The sequence below is a fragment of the Homo sapiens genome, chromosome Y (assembly GCF_000001405.40).
Source record: "Homo sapiens chromosome Y, GRCh38.p14 Primary Assembly".
In the NCBI taxonomy this organism is placed as follows: domain Eukaryota; kingdom Metazoa; phylum Chordata; class Mammalia; order Primates; family Hominidae; genus Homo; species Homo sapiens.
The window spans coordinates 23141532-23154010 of record NC_000024.10 but is presented as its reverse complement, the minus strand read 5'-3'; the positions used below and the strand labels follow the sequence as shown (position 1 = coordinate 23154010).

At 38.2% G+C, this 12479-nt stretch overlaps 1 protein-coding gene across 2 annotated transcripts in view; it reads left to right on the top strand.

The window, feature by feature from the left end:
- The window catches only part of DAZ1 (deleted in azoospermia 1), a 69740-nt gene that overhangs the window by 45084 nt on the left and 12177 nt on the right, over nt 1-12479 (top strand). The window contains exons 23-24 of one of the 2 annotated variants that reach the window (NM_004081.7): nt 1143-1214; nt 10929-11000. In NM_004081.7, coding sequence (NP_004072.3) covers nt 1143-1214; nt 10929-11000 — 144 coding nt within the window. The remainder of the gene's footprint in view (nt 1-1142; nt 1215-10928; nt 11001-12479) is intronic. The other variant, NM_001388496.1, reaches the window with a different exon arrangement.

The window sequence follows — 12479 nt, the reverse complement described above, 5'->3', positions numbered from 1 at the left end:
TAGGAGTAAAGGAGAGTATTACCTCCAACTCACCGGAGCTGCTTTCCCCCTTATAAGCAGTTCCTAAAGTGAATGAAAGCAGCTCTCCTTATGTGTCTGCCTACTTTATTCTTCGGTAAGTTTAGCAGTTTATCTAGCTATCCTTTATTTGAAATGATTGCCACATGCCTCCTCATATAAATGGCTGACTTCTGGATATATTCTGGTTCTGGAATGGGCAGATTTCTGACGTGGTTTAGTATATATATATAAACCCGGTGAGTTTCTGGCATGTAATTTCTCTGATCGTGGTTACATTGATATTTAAAGTAGGGTTTGACATAGTGTGTCACTTACTGTTGATAAATATCGTTTATTTTCTTCTTAGTTCATTTCATTGATGTGTTAGCTTAAAAGACATTTTCTTTGACAGAAAATGAAGTAATGAAATAATAGTGAAATCGTTCTGCTGTGTCTCTAATTTGTTGATATTTTCCATGTACTTGAAACATGTATGGTATACCTCTTCTTTTTCCTTCTCTGAACCATGGCTAGAAAAAAAGCCCTACTTGTTTCTCTCGTTTACTGTGAGGCATTAGTGATTCTGGGTGTATTCATGTATGCTGCTACCTGTATGTTTTCAAACAATAAGAATTTGTTGAAACATGTCAGACATTATACTTTTTATTCTCCAGTATTGGAATATAGACTGCAATTAGTTTTTTGGAATGAAATACAGACAAAGCCATAACATCTATAGAACTACATATTACCCTACAATATTGTCTGATACAAAACAGTCTGGAAATATTCTTACAGCGAAATTGCAAATGTATTGATTTACCTTACATTGCAATCTGTCTTAGTGGAACCTTATCACCAGTGTAAGACATAATTTCTGGGTGTGAATAAGTACACAGTATAAGGTAAATTTTGGTGAAGTAGTCAGTTCTTTGTCATTTGTTCCCCCTTCACACCCAAAGTGTAGCACTTGACATAGAATCTTTCTTTCCTCATAAAGTCATTCATTTGGAATTCTGCATTGTTGTATGTAGAAAAAGGATATTTTCCGTTTTGTAATATTTTTCTTATATTGGGAATTATATTTCTTTCTAATTTTAAAATGTGGTTTACCATATTCATTTTTTCTGCAACCTTTTCAGGCATTTCCTGCTTATCCAAATTCACCAGTTCAGGTCACCACTGGATATCAGTTGCCTGTATACAATTATCAGGTAATGTAAGAGGTAGTAAAATGGTTTGCTTTCAGGTATTATTGAGGCCTTTAACTTGTTTATAGAAATTTCCTGAATAGTTGGTCATTTTTAACTAGTGAAGTGTCCCTAAAATTTAAGGAAAGACTTAGTGTAGAATGAAGACCTCTGTCTTATTTAGAAGTAATGAAGTAATATTTTTACAGGAATATCCTTGGCAATAACATTTGTGTAGAAGAGATTTCTGAGATTTGGTGTCCCCTTCTTCATTTGTGGATATAGTTTTCATCTTTGCTGTCAAATAGCTGAATGAAACATCCAAACTGACTTTCATGAATTTTTTTAGGGAGATAGAGTGAAATAAAATTATGATCCACTTTTCAGAGCACAGAATTCCAATTATATTTTCATTTTAGCTGGCTGTTTGACGGTAGTCATTCTCAGGATCTCTTCTCATAGATACAAGTATATCTATGACCCATAACTATATCTATGGTAATAAACTGAAAGAGCTAGTATTTTTGAGGTTTCCACATTGCCAACTCCCAAAAATTTGGAGAAAGGTGAAGATTCAAATTTAAAGTAACAAGAATGTCATGGACAAGAAACATAAAGTACTTAAGTTTTCCTTTCTGTTACTTTTATTATAATAAAAAAGGAGACAGCGGAATAAGTACTTCAATACTGTGTTTCTCATGTGTGTTTGAAAATATGTAGGAATAGTTTAATAGTTTTGGTTTCCTTTTTTTTTTTTTTTTTTAAAGATGCCACCTTAGGGGCCTGTTGGGGAGCAAAGGGATTATGTTGTCCTTGACGTTAAGGGAATTAGCCAAACATAGACTTCCTGTTCATTCTTGATTTTTTTTCCATGTCATATATGCCTATAAATATTTTTAAGTGACTCTCTATATTAATGTTTGTTGTTGTTGTTGTTACTTTCTTGTTAACCCGAGTATAAACTCCCATGGCAGCAACAGTGCCTTTTTTGCCCTCAGGGTTTTATGTGCTTAAGCAATGGCAGCTCCACATAATGATAGACTATATAATCAAAGAAAGGTAATATTCACGTGACTTTAGAATTAGCATGTAGCTGCATAGAATCTGCCTCTGGCTTTACCAGCAGTAGTAAATTTATAGAAGAGAAACAGAAATGCTTTGCTGTTAATTATGCTTAAATAAGAATAGAAGTAAAGGAGAGTATTACCTGCAAATCACCAGAGCAGCTTTCCCCCGTATAAGCAGTTCCTAAAGTGAATGAAAGCAGCTCTCCTTATGTGTCTGCCTACTTTATTCTTCCGTAAGTTTAGCAATTCATCTAGCTATCCTTTATTTGAAATGATTTCCAGATGCCTCCTCATATAAATTGCTGACTTCTGGATATATTCTGGTTCTGGAATGGGTAGATTTCTGATGTGATTTAGTATATATATATAAACCGCTTGAGTTTCTGGCATCTAATTTCTCTGATCCTGGTGACATTGATATTTAAAGTAGGGTTTGACATACTCTATCACTTACTGTTGATAAATAACGTTTATATTCTTCTTAGTTCATTTCATTGATGTGTTAGCTTAAAAGACATTTTCTTTGATGGAAAATGTAGTAACAAAATAATAGTGAAATAGTTCTGCAGTGTTTCTAATTTGTTGATATTTTCCATGTACTTGAAACATGTATGGTATACCTCTTATTTTTCCTTCTCTGAACAATGGGTAGAAGAAAAGCTCTACTTGTTACTGTCATTTACTGTGAGCCATTACTGAATCTGGGTGTATTCATGTATGCTACTGCCTGTATGTTTTCAAACAATAAGCATTTATTGAAACATATAAGACATTATACTTCCTCTTCTCCAGTATTGGATTATAGACTGCACTTAGTTTTTTGGAATGAAGTACAGACAAAGCCATAACATCTATAGAACTACATATTACCCTATAATATTGTCTGATACAAAACAGTCTAGAAATATTCTTACAGCAAATTGCAAATGTATTAATTTAACTTACATTGCAATCTGTCTTAATGGAGCCTTATCACCAGTGTAAGAAATAACTTCTGGGTGTGAATAAGTACACAGTATAAGGTAAACTTTGGTGAAGTAGTCAATTCTTTTTTTTTTTTAAATTATGCTTTAAGTTTTAGGGTCCATGTGCACATTGTGCAGGTTAGTTCCATATGTATACATGTGCCATGCTGGTGCTCTGCACCCTCTAACTCCTCATCTAGCATTAGGTATATCTCCCAGTGCTATCCCTCCCCCCTCCCCCCACCCCACAACAGTCCCCAGAGTGTGATATATCCCTTCCTGTGTCCATGTGATCTCATTGTTCAATTCCCACCTATGAGTGAGAATATGCGGTGTTTGGTTTTTTGTTCTTGCGATAGTTTACTGAGAATGATGATTTCCAATTTCATCCATGTCCCTACAAAGGACATGAAGTCATCATTTTTTATGGCGGCATAGTATTCCATGGTGTATATGTGCCACATTTTCTTAATCCAGTCTATCATTGTTGGACATTTGGGTTGGTTCCAAGTCTTTGCTATTGTGAATAATGCCGCAATAAACATACGTGTGCATGTGTCTTTATAGCAGCATGATTTATAGTCCTTTGTGTATACACCCAGTAATGGGATGGCTGGGTCAAATGCTATTTCCAGTTCTAGATCCCTGAGGAATCGCCACACTGACTTCCACAATGGTTGAACTAGTTTACAGTCCCGCCAACAGTGTAAAAGTGTTCCTGTTTCTCCACATCTTCTCCAGCACCTGTTGTCTCCTGACTTTTAAATGATTGCCATTCTAACTGGTGTGAGATGGTATCTCACTGTGGTTTTGATTTGCATTTCTCTGATGGCCAGTGATGATGAGCATTTTTTCATGTGTTTTTTGGCTGCATAAATGTCTTCTTTTGAGAAGTGTCTGTTCATGTCCTTCACCCACTTTTTGATGAGGTTGTTTGTTTTTTCTTGTAAATTTGTTTTAGCTCATTGTAGATTCTGGATATTAGCCCTTTGTCAGATGAGTAGGTTGTGAAAATTTTCTCCCATTTTGTAGGTTGCCTGTTCACTCTGATGGTAGTTTCTTTTTCTGTGCAGAAGCTCTTTAGTTTAATTAGATCCCATTTGTCAATTTTGTCTTTTATTGCCATTGCTTTTGGTGTTTTAGACGTGAAGTCCTCGCCTATGCCTATGTCCTGAATGGTAATGCCTAGGTTTTCTTCTAGGGTTTTTATGGTTTTACGTCTAACGTTTAAGTCTTTAATCCATCTTGAATTGATTTTTGTATAAGGTGTAAGGAAGGGATCCAGTTTCAGCTTTCTACATATGGCTAGCCAGTTTTCCCAGCACCATTTATTAAATAGGGAATCCTTTCCCCATTGCTTGTTTTTCTCAGGTTTGTCAAAGATCAGATAGTTGTAGATATGCGGCGTTATTTCTGAGGGCTCTGTTCTGTTCCATTGATCTATATCTCTGTTTTGGTACCAGTACCATGCTGTTTTGGTTACTGTAGCCTTGTAGTATAGTTTGAAGTCAGGTAGTGTGATGCCTCCAGCTTTGTTCTTTTGGCTTAGGATTGACTTGGCAATGCGGGCTCTTTTTTGGTTCCATGTGAACTTTAAAGTAGTTTTTTCCAATTCTGTGAAGAAAGGCATTGGTAGCTTGATGGGGATGGCATTGAATCTGTAAATTACCTTGGGCAGTATGGCCATTTTCACGATATTGATTCTTCCTACTCATGAGCATGGAATGTTCTTCCATTTGTTTGTATCCTCTTTTATTTCCTTGAGCAGTGGTTTGTAGTTCTCCTTGAAGAGGTCCTTCACATCCCTTGTAAGTTGATTTCCTAGGCATTTTATTCCCTTTGAAGCAATTGTGAATGGGAGTTCACTCATGATTGGGCTCTCTGTTTGTCTGTTGTTGGTGTATAAGAAAGCTTGTGATTTTTGTACATTGATTTTGTATCCTGAGACTTTGCTGAAGTTGCTTATCAGCTTAAGGAGATTTTGGGCTGAGACAATGGGGTTTTCTAGATATATAATCATGTTGTCTGCAAACAGGGACAATTTGACTTCCTCCTTTCCTAATTGAATACCCTTTATTTCCTTCTCCTGCCTAATTGCCCTGGCCAGAACTTCCAACACTATGTTGAATAGGAGTGGTGAGAGAGGGCATCCCTCTCTTGTGCCAGTTTTCAAAGGGAATGCTTCCAGTTTTTGCCCATTCAGTATGATATTGGCTGTGGGTTTGTCATAGATAGCTCTTACTATTTTGAAATACGTCCCATCAATACCTAATTTATTGAGAGTTTTTAGCATGAAGGGTTGTTGAATTTTGTCAAGGGCTTTTTCTGCATCTATTGAGATAATCATGTGTTTTTTGTCTTTGGTTCTGTTTATATGCTGGATTACATTTATTGATTTGCGTATATTGAACCAGCCTTGCATCCCAGCGATGAAGCCCACTTGATCATGGTGGATAAGCTTTTTGATGTGCCGCTGGATTCGTTTTGCCAGTATTTTATTGAGGATTTTTGCATCAATGTTCATCAAGGATATTGGTCTAAAATTCTCTTTTTTGGTTGTGTCTCTGCCTGGCTTTGGTATCAGAATGATGCTGGCCTCATAAAATGAGTTAGGGAGGATTCTGTCTTTTTCTGTTGATTGGAATAGTTTCAGAAGGAATGGTACCAGTTCCTCCTTGTACCTCTGGTAGAATTCGGCTGTGAATCCATCTGGTCCTGGACTCTTTTTGGTTGGTGAGCTATTGATTATTGCCACAATTTCAGCTCCTGTTATTGGTCTATTCAGAGATTCAACTTCTTCCTGGTTTAGTCTTGGGAGAGTGTATGTGTCGAGGAGTTTATCCATTTCTTCTAGATTTTCTAGTTTATTTGCGTAGAGGTGTTTGTAGTATTCTCTGATGGTAGTTTGTATTTCTGTGTGATCAGTGGCGATATCCCCTTTATCATTTTTTATTGCGTCTATTGGATTCTTCTCTCTTTTTTTCTTTATTAGTCTTGCTAGCGGTCTGTCACTTTTGTTGATCCTTTCAAAAAACCAGCTCCTGGATTCATTAATTTTTTGAAGGGTTTTTTGTGTCTCTATTTCCTTCAGTTCTGCTCTGATCTTAGTTATTTCTTGCCTTCTGCTAGCTTTTGACTGTGTTTGCTCTTGCTTTTCTAGTTCTTTTAATTGTGATGTTACGGTGTCAATTTTGGATCTTTCCTGCTTTCTCTTGTGGGCATTTAGTGCTATAAATTTCCCTCTACACACTGCTTTGAATGCATCCCAGAGATTCCGGTATGTTGTGTCTTTGTTCTCGTTGGTTTCAAAGAACATCTTTATTTCTGCCTTCATTTTGTTATGTACCCAGTAGTCATTCAGGAGCAGGTTGTTCAGTTTCCATGTAGTTGAGTGGTTTTGAGTGAGATTCTTAATCCTGAGTTCTAGTTTGATTGCACTGTGGTCTGAGAGATAGTTTGTTATAATTTCTGTTCTTTTACATCCGCTGAGGAGAGCTTTACTTCCCAGTATGTGGTCAGTTTTGGAATAGGTGTGGTGTGGTGCTGAAAAAAAATGTATATTCTGTTGATTTGGGGTGGAGAGTTCTGTAGATGTCTATTAGGTCCACTTGGTGCAGAGCTGAGTTCAATTCCTGGGTATCCTTGTTGACTTTCTGTCTCGTTGATCTGTCTAATGTTGACAGTGGGGTGTTAAAGTCTCCCATTATTAATGTGTGGGAGTCTAAGTCTCTTTGTAGGTCACTCAGGACTTGCTTTATGAATCTTGGTGCTCCTGTATTGGGTGCATATATATTTAGGATAGTTAGCTCTTCTTGTTGAATTGATCCCTTTACCATTATGTAATGGCCTTCTTTGTCTCTTTCGATCTTTGTTGGTTTAAAGTCTGTTTTATCAGAGACTAGGATTGCAACCCCTGCCTTTTTTTGTTTTCCATTTGCTTGGTAGATCTTCCTGCATCCTTTTATTTTGAGCCTATGTGTGTCTCTGCACGTGAGATGGGTTTCCTGAATACAGCACACTGATGGGTCTTGACTCTTTATCCAGTTTGCCAGTCTGTGTCTTTTAATTGGAGCATTTAGTCCATTGACATTTAAAGTTAATATTGTTATGTATGAATTTGATCCTGTCATTATGATGTTAGCTGGTTATTTTGCTTGTTAGTTGATGCAGTTTCTTCCTAGTCTCGATGGTCTTTACATTTTGGCATGATTTTGCAGCGGCTGGTACCGGTTGTTCCTTTCCATGTTTAGTGCTTCCTTCAGGAGCTCTTATAAGGCAGGCTTGGTGGTGACAAAATCTCTCAGCATTTGCTTGTCTGTAAAGTATTTTATTTCTCCTTCGCTTATGAAGCTTAGTTTGGCTGGATATGAAATTCTGGGTTGAAAATTATTTTCTTTAAGAATGTTGAATATTGGCCCCCACTCTCTTCTGGCTTGTAGGGTTTCTGCCGAGAGATCCACTGTTAGTCTGATGGGCTTCCCTTTGAGGGTAACCCGACCTTTCTCTCTGGCTGCCCTTAACATTTTTTCCTTCATTTCAACTTTGGTGAATCTGACAATTATGTGTCTTGGAGTTGCTCTTCTCGAGGAGTATCTTTGTGGTGTTCTCTGTATTTCCTGAATCTGAACGTTGGCCTGCCTTGCTAGATTGGGGAAGTTCTCCTGGATAATATCCTGCAGAGTGTTTTCCAGCTTGGTTCCATTCTCCCGATCACTTTCAGGTACACCAAGCAGACGTAGATTTGGTCTTTTCACATAGTCCCATATTTCTTGGAGGCTTTGCTCATTTCGTTTTATTCTTTTTTCTCCAAACTTCCCTTCTCACTTCATTTCATTCATTTCATCTTCCATTGCTGATACCCTTTCTTCCAGTTGATCGCATCAGCTCCTGAGGCTTCTGCATTCTTCACGTAGTTCTTGAGCCTTGGTTTTCAGCTCCATCAGCTCCTTTAAGCACTTCTCTGTATTGGTTATTCTAGTTATACATTCTTCTACATTTTTTTTTTCCAAAGTTTTCAACTTCTTTGCCTTTGGTTTGAATGTCCTCCCGTAGCTCAGAGTAATTTGATCGTCTGAAGCCTTCTTCTCTCAGCTCGTCAAAGTCATTCTCCATCCAGCTTTGTTCCGTTGCTGGTGAGGAACTGCGTTCCTTTGGAGGAGGAGAGGTGCTCTGCTTTTTAGAGTTTCCAGTTTTTCTGTTCTGTTTTTTCCCCCTCTTTGTGGTTTTATCTACTTTTGGTCTTTGATGATGGTGATGTACAGATGGGTTTTTGGTGTGGATGTCCTTTCTGTTTGTTAGTTTTCCTTCTAACTGAGAGGACCCTCAGCTGCAGGTCTGTTGGAATACCCTGCCGTGTGAGGTGTCAGTGTGCCCCTGCTGGGGGGTGCCTCCCAGTTAGGCTGCTCGGGGGGTCAGGGGTCAGGGACCCACTTGAGGAGGCAGTCTGCCCGTTCTCAGATCTCCAGCTGCGTGCTGGGAGAACCACTGCTCTCTTCAAAGCTGTCAGACAGGGTCATTTAAGTCTGCAGAGGTTACTGCTGTCTTTTTGTTTGTCTGTGCCCTGCCCCTAGAGGTGGAGCCTACAGAGGCAGGCAGGCCTCCTTGAGCTGTGGTGGGCTCCACCCAGTTGGAGCTTCCCTGCGGCTTTGTTTACCTAATCAAGCCTGGGCAATGGCGGGCGCCCCTCCCCCAGCCTCGTTGCCGCCTTGCAGTTTGATCTCAGACTGCTGTGCTAGCAATCAGTGAGACTGCGTGGGCGTAGGACCCTCCGAGCCAGGTGCGGGATATAATCTAGTGGTGTGCCGTTTTTTAAGCCCGTCGGAAAAGCGCAGTATTCGGGTGGGAGTGACCCGATTCTCCAGGTGGCATCCGTCACCCCTTTCTTTGACTCAGAAGGGAACTCCCTGACCGCTTGCGCGTCCCAAGTGAGGCAATGCCTCGCCCTGCTTCCGCTCGCACGCGGTGAGCCCACCCACTGACCTGCGCCCACTGTCTGGCACTCCCTAGTGAGATGAACCCGGTACCTCAGATGGAAATGCAGAAATCACCCGTCTTCGGCGTCGCTCACGCTGGGAGCTGTAGACTGGAGCTGTTCCTATTCGGCCATCTTGGCTCCTCCCCCACCCCCCTTTTTTTTTCAAGATGCCACCATAGGGGCCTGTTGGGGAGCAAAGGGATTATGTTTTCCTTGATGTTAAGTGAATTAGCCAAACATAGACTTCCTGTTCATTCTTGGTTTTTTTCCACGTCGTATATGCCTATTACTATTTTTAAGTGATTTTTATATCAATGTTTTAGTTTATTTTTTTACTTTCTTGTTAACCCGATTATAAACTCCCATGGGAGCAACAGTGCCTTTTTTGCCCTGAGGTTTTTATTTGCTTAAGCAATGGCAGGTCCACTTAATGATAGACCATATCATCAAAGAAAGGTAGTATTCATGTGGCTTTTGAATTAGCATGCATCTGCGTAGATTCTGCCTCTGGCTTTACCAGCAACAGAAAATTTGTAGAACAGAGACAGAAATGCTTTGCTGTTAATTGCGCTTAAATAAGAATAGGAGTAAACGAGAGTATTACCTCCAAAGCACCAGAGCTGCTTTCCTCCTTATAACCAGTTCCTAAAGTGAATGAAAGCAGCTCTCCTTATGTGTCTGCCTACTTCATTCTTCGGTAAGTTTAACAGTTCATCTAGCTACCCTTTATTTGAAATGATTTCCAGATGCCTCCTCATATAAATTGCTGACTTCTGGATATATTCTGGTTCGGGAATGGGTAGATTTCTGATGTGGTTTAGTAGGTATATAAATCCCGTGAGCTTCTTGCATCTAATTTCTCTGATCCTGCTTACACTGATATTTAAAGTAGGTTTTGACATACTCCATCACTTAATGTTGATAAAGGACGTTTATATTCTTCTTAGTTCGTTTTATTTATGTGTTAGCTTTAAAGACATTTTCTTTGACGGAAAGTGAAGTAACAAAATAATAGTCGAATAGTTCTGCCGTGTCTCTAATTTGTTGATATTTTCCATGTACTTGAAACATGTATGGTACACCTCTTCTTTTTCCTTCTCTGAACAATGGCTAGAAAAAAAACCCTACTTCTTTCTGTCATTTACTGTGAGGCATTACTGAATCTGGGTGTATTCATGTATGCTGCTACCTGTATGTTTTCAAACAATAAGAATTCATTGAAACATATAAGACATTATACTTTCTCTTCTCCAGTATTGGATTATAGACTGCACTTAGTTTTCCGGAATGAAGTACAGACAAAGCCATAACGCGTGTACAACTACACATTGTCCTATAATATTGTCTGATAAAAAACAGTGTAGAAATATTCTGACAGGGAAATAGCAAATGTATTAATTTAACTTACCTTGCAATCTCTCTTAATGGAGCCTTATCACCAGTGTAAGAAATAACGTCTGGGTGTGAATACGTACACAGTATAAGGTAAACTTTGGTGAAGTCGTCAATTCTTTTGTCATTTCTTCCCCCTTCACAGCCAAAGTGTAGCACTTGACATGGAATCTTTCTTTCTTCATAAATCAGTCATTCATTTGGAATTCTGCATTGTTGTATGTAGAAAAACGATATTTTCCCTTCTGTAATATTGTTGTTATATTGGGAATTATATTTCTTTGTAATTTTAAAAAGTGGTTTACCATATTCATTTTTTTCTGCCAACCTTTCTTTTCAGGCATTTCCTGCTTATCCAAGTTCACCATTTCAGGTCACCACTGGATATCAGTTGCCTGTATATAATTATCAGGTAATGTAAGAAGGAGTAAAATTATTTGCTTTCAGGTATTATTGAGGCCTTTAACTTGTTTATACAAATTTCCGGAATAGTTGGTCATTTTAAACTAGTGAAGTGTACCTAAAATTTAAGGAAACACTTAGAATTAGTGTAGAATGAAGACCTCTGTCTTATTGAGAAGTAATGAAGTCGAATTTTGACAGGAATATACTTGGGAATAACTTTCCTGTAGAACAGATTTCTGAGATTTGGTGTCCCATTCTTCATTTCTGGATGTAGTTTTCATCTTTACTGTCAAATAACTGAATGAAACATCCAAACTGACTTTCATGAATTTTCTTAGGGAGATAGAGTGAAATAAAATTATGACCCACTTTGCAGAGCACAGAATTCCAACTATATTTTCATTTTAGCTGGCTGTTTCACGATAGCAATTCTCTGGGTCTCTTTTCACAGATACAAGTACATCTATGCCCAATAATTATATCTATGGTAATAAACTGAAAGAGCTAGTATCTTTGAGGTTTCCACATTGCCAACTCCCGAAAATGTGGAGAAGGGTGAAGTTTCTAATATAAAAGTAACAAGAATGTCATGGACTAGAAACATAAAGTACTCAAGTTTTCCTTTCTGTTACTTGTATTATAATAAAAAAGGAGACAGCAGGATAAGTGCTTCAATATTGTGTTTCTCATGTGTTTTTGAAAATGTGTAGGAATATTTTAATAGTTTTGGTTTCCTTTTTTTTTTTTTTTTTAAGATGCCACCATAGGGGCCTGTTGGGGAGCAAAGGGATTATGTTTTCCTTGATGTTAAGTGAATTAGCCAAACATAGACTTCCTGTTCATTCTTGGTTTTTTTCCACGTCGTATATGCCTATTACTATTTTTAAGTGATTTTTATATCAATGTTTTAGTTTATTTTTTTACTTTCTTGTTAACCCGATTATAAACTCCCATGGGAGCAACAGTGCCTTTTTTGCCCTGAGGTTTTTATTTGCTTAAGCAATGGCAGGTCCACTTAATGATAGACCATATCATCAAAGAAAGGTAGTATTCATGTGGCTTTTGAATTAGCATGCATCTGCGTAGATTCTGCCTCTGGCTTTACCAGCAACAGAAAATTTGTAGAACAGAGACAGAAATGCTTTGCTGTTAATTGCGCTTAAATAAGAATAGGAGTAAACGAGAGTATTACCTCCAAAGCACCAGAGCTGCTTTCCTCCTTATAACCAGTTCCTAAAGTGAATGAAAGCAGCTCTCCTTATGTGTCTGCCTACTTCATTCTTCGGTAAGTTTAACAGTTCATCTAGCTACCCTTTATTTGAAATGATTTCCAGATGCCTCCTCATATAAATTGCTGACTTCTGGATATATTCTGGTTCGGGAATGGGTAGATTTCTGATGTGGTTTAGTAGGTATATAAATCCCGTGAGCTTCTTGCATCTAATTTCTCTGATCCTGCTTACACTGATATTTAAAGTAGGTTTTG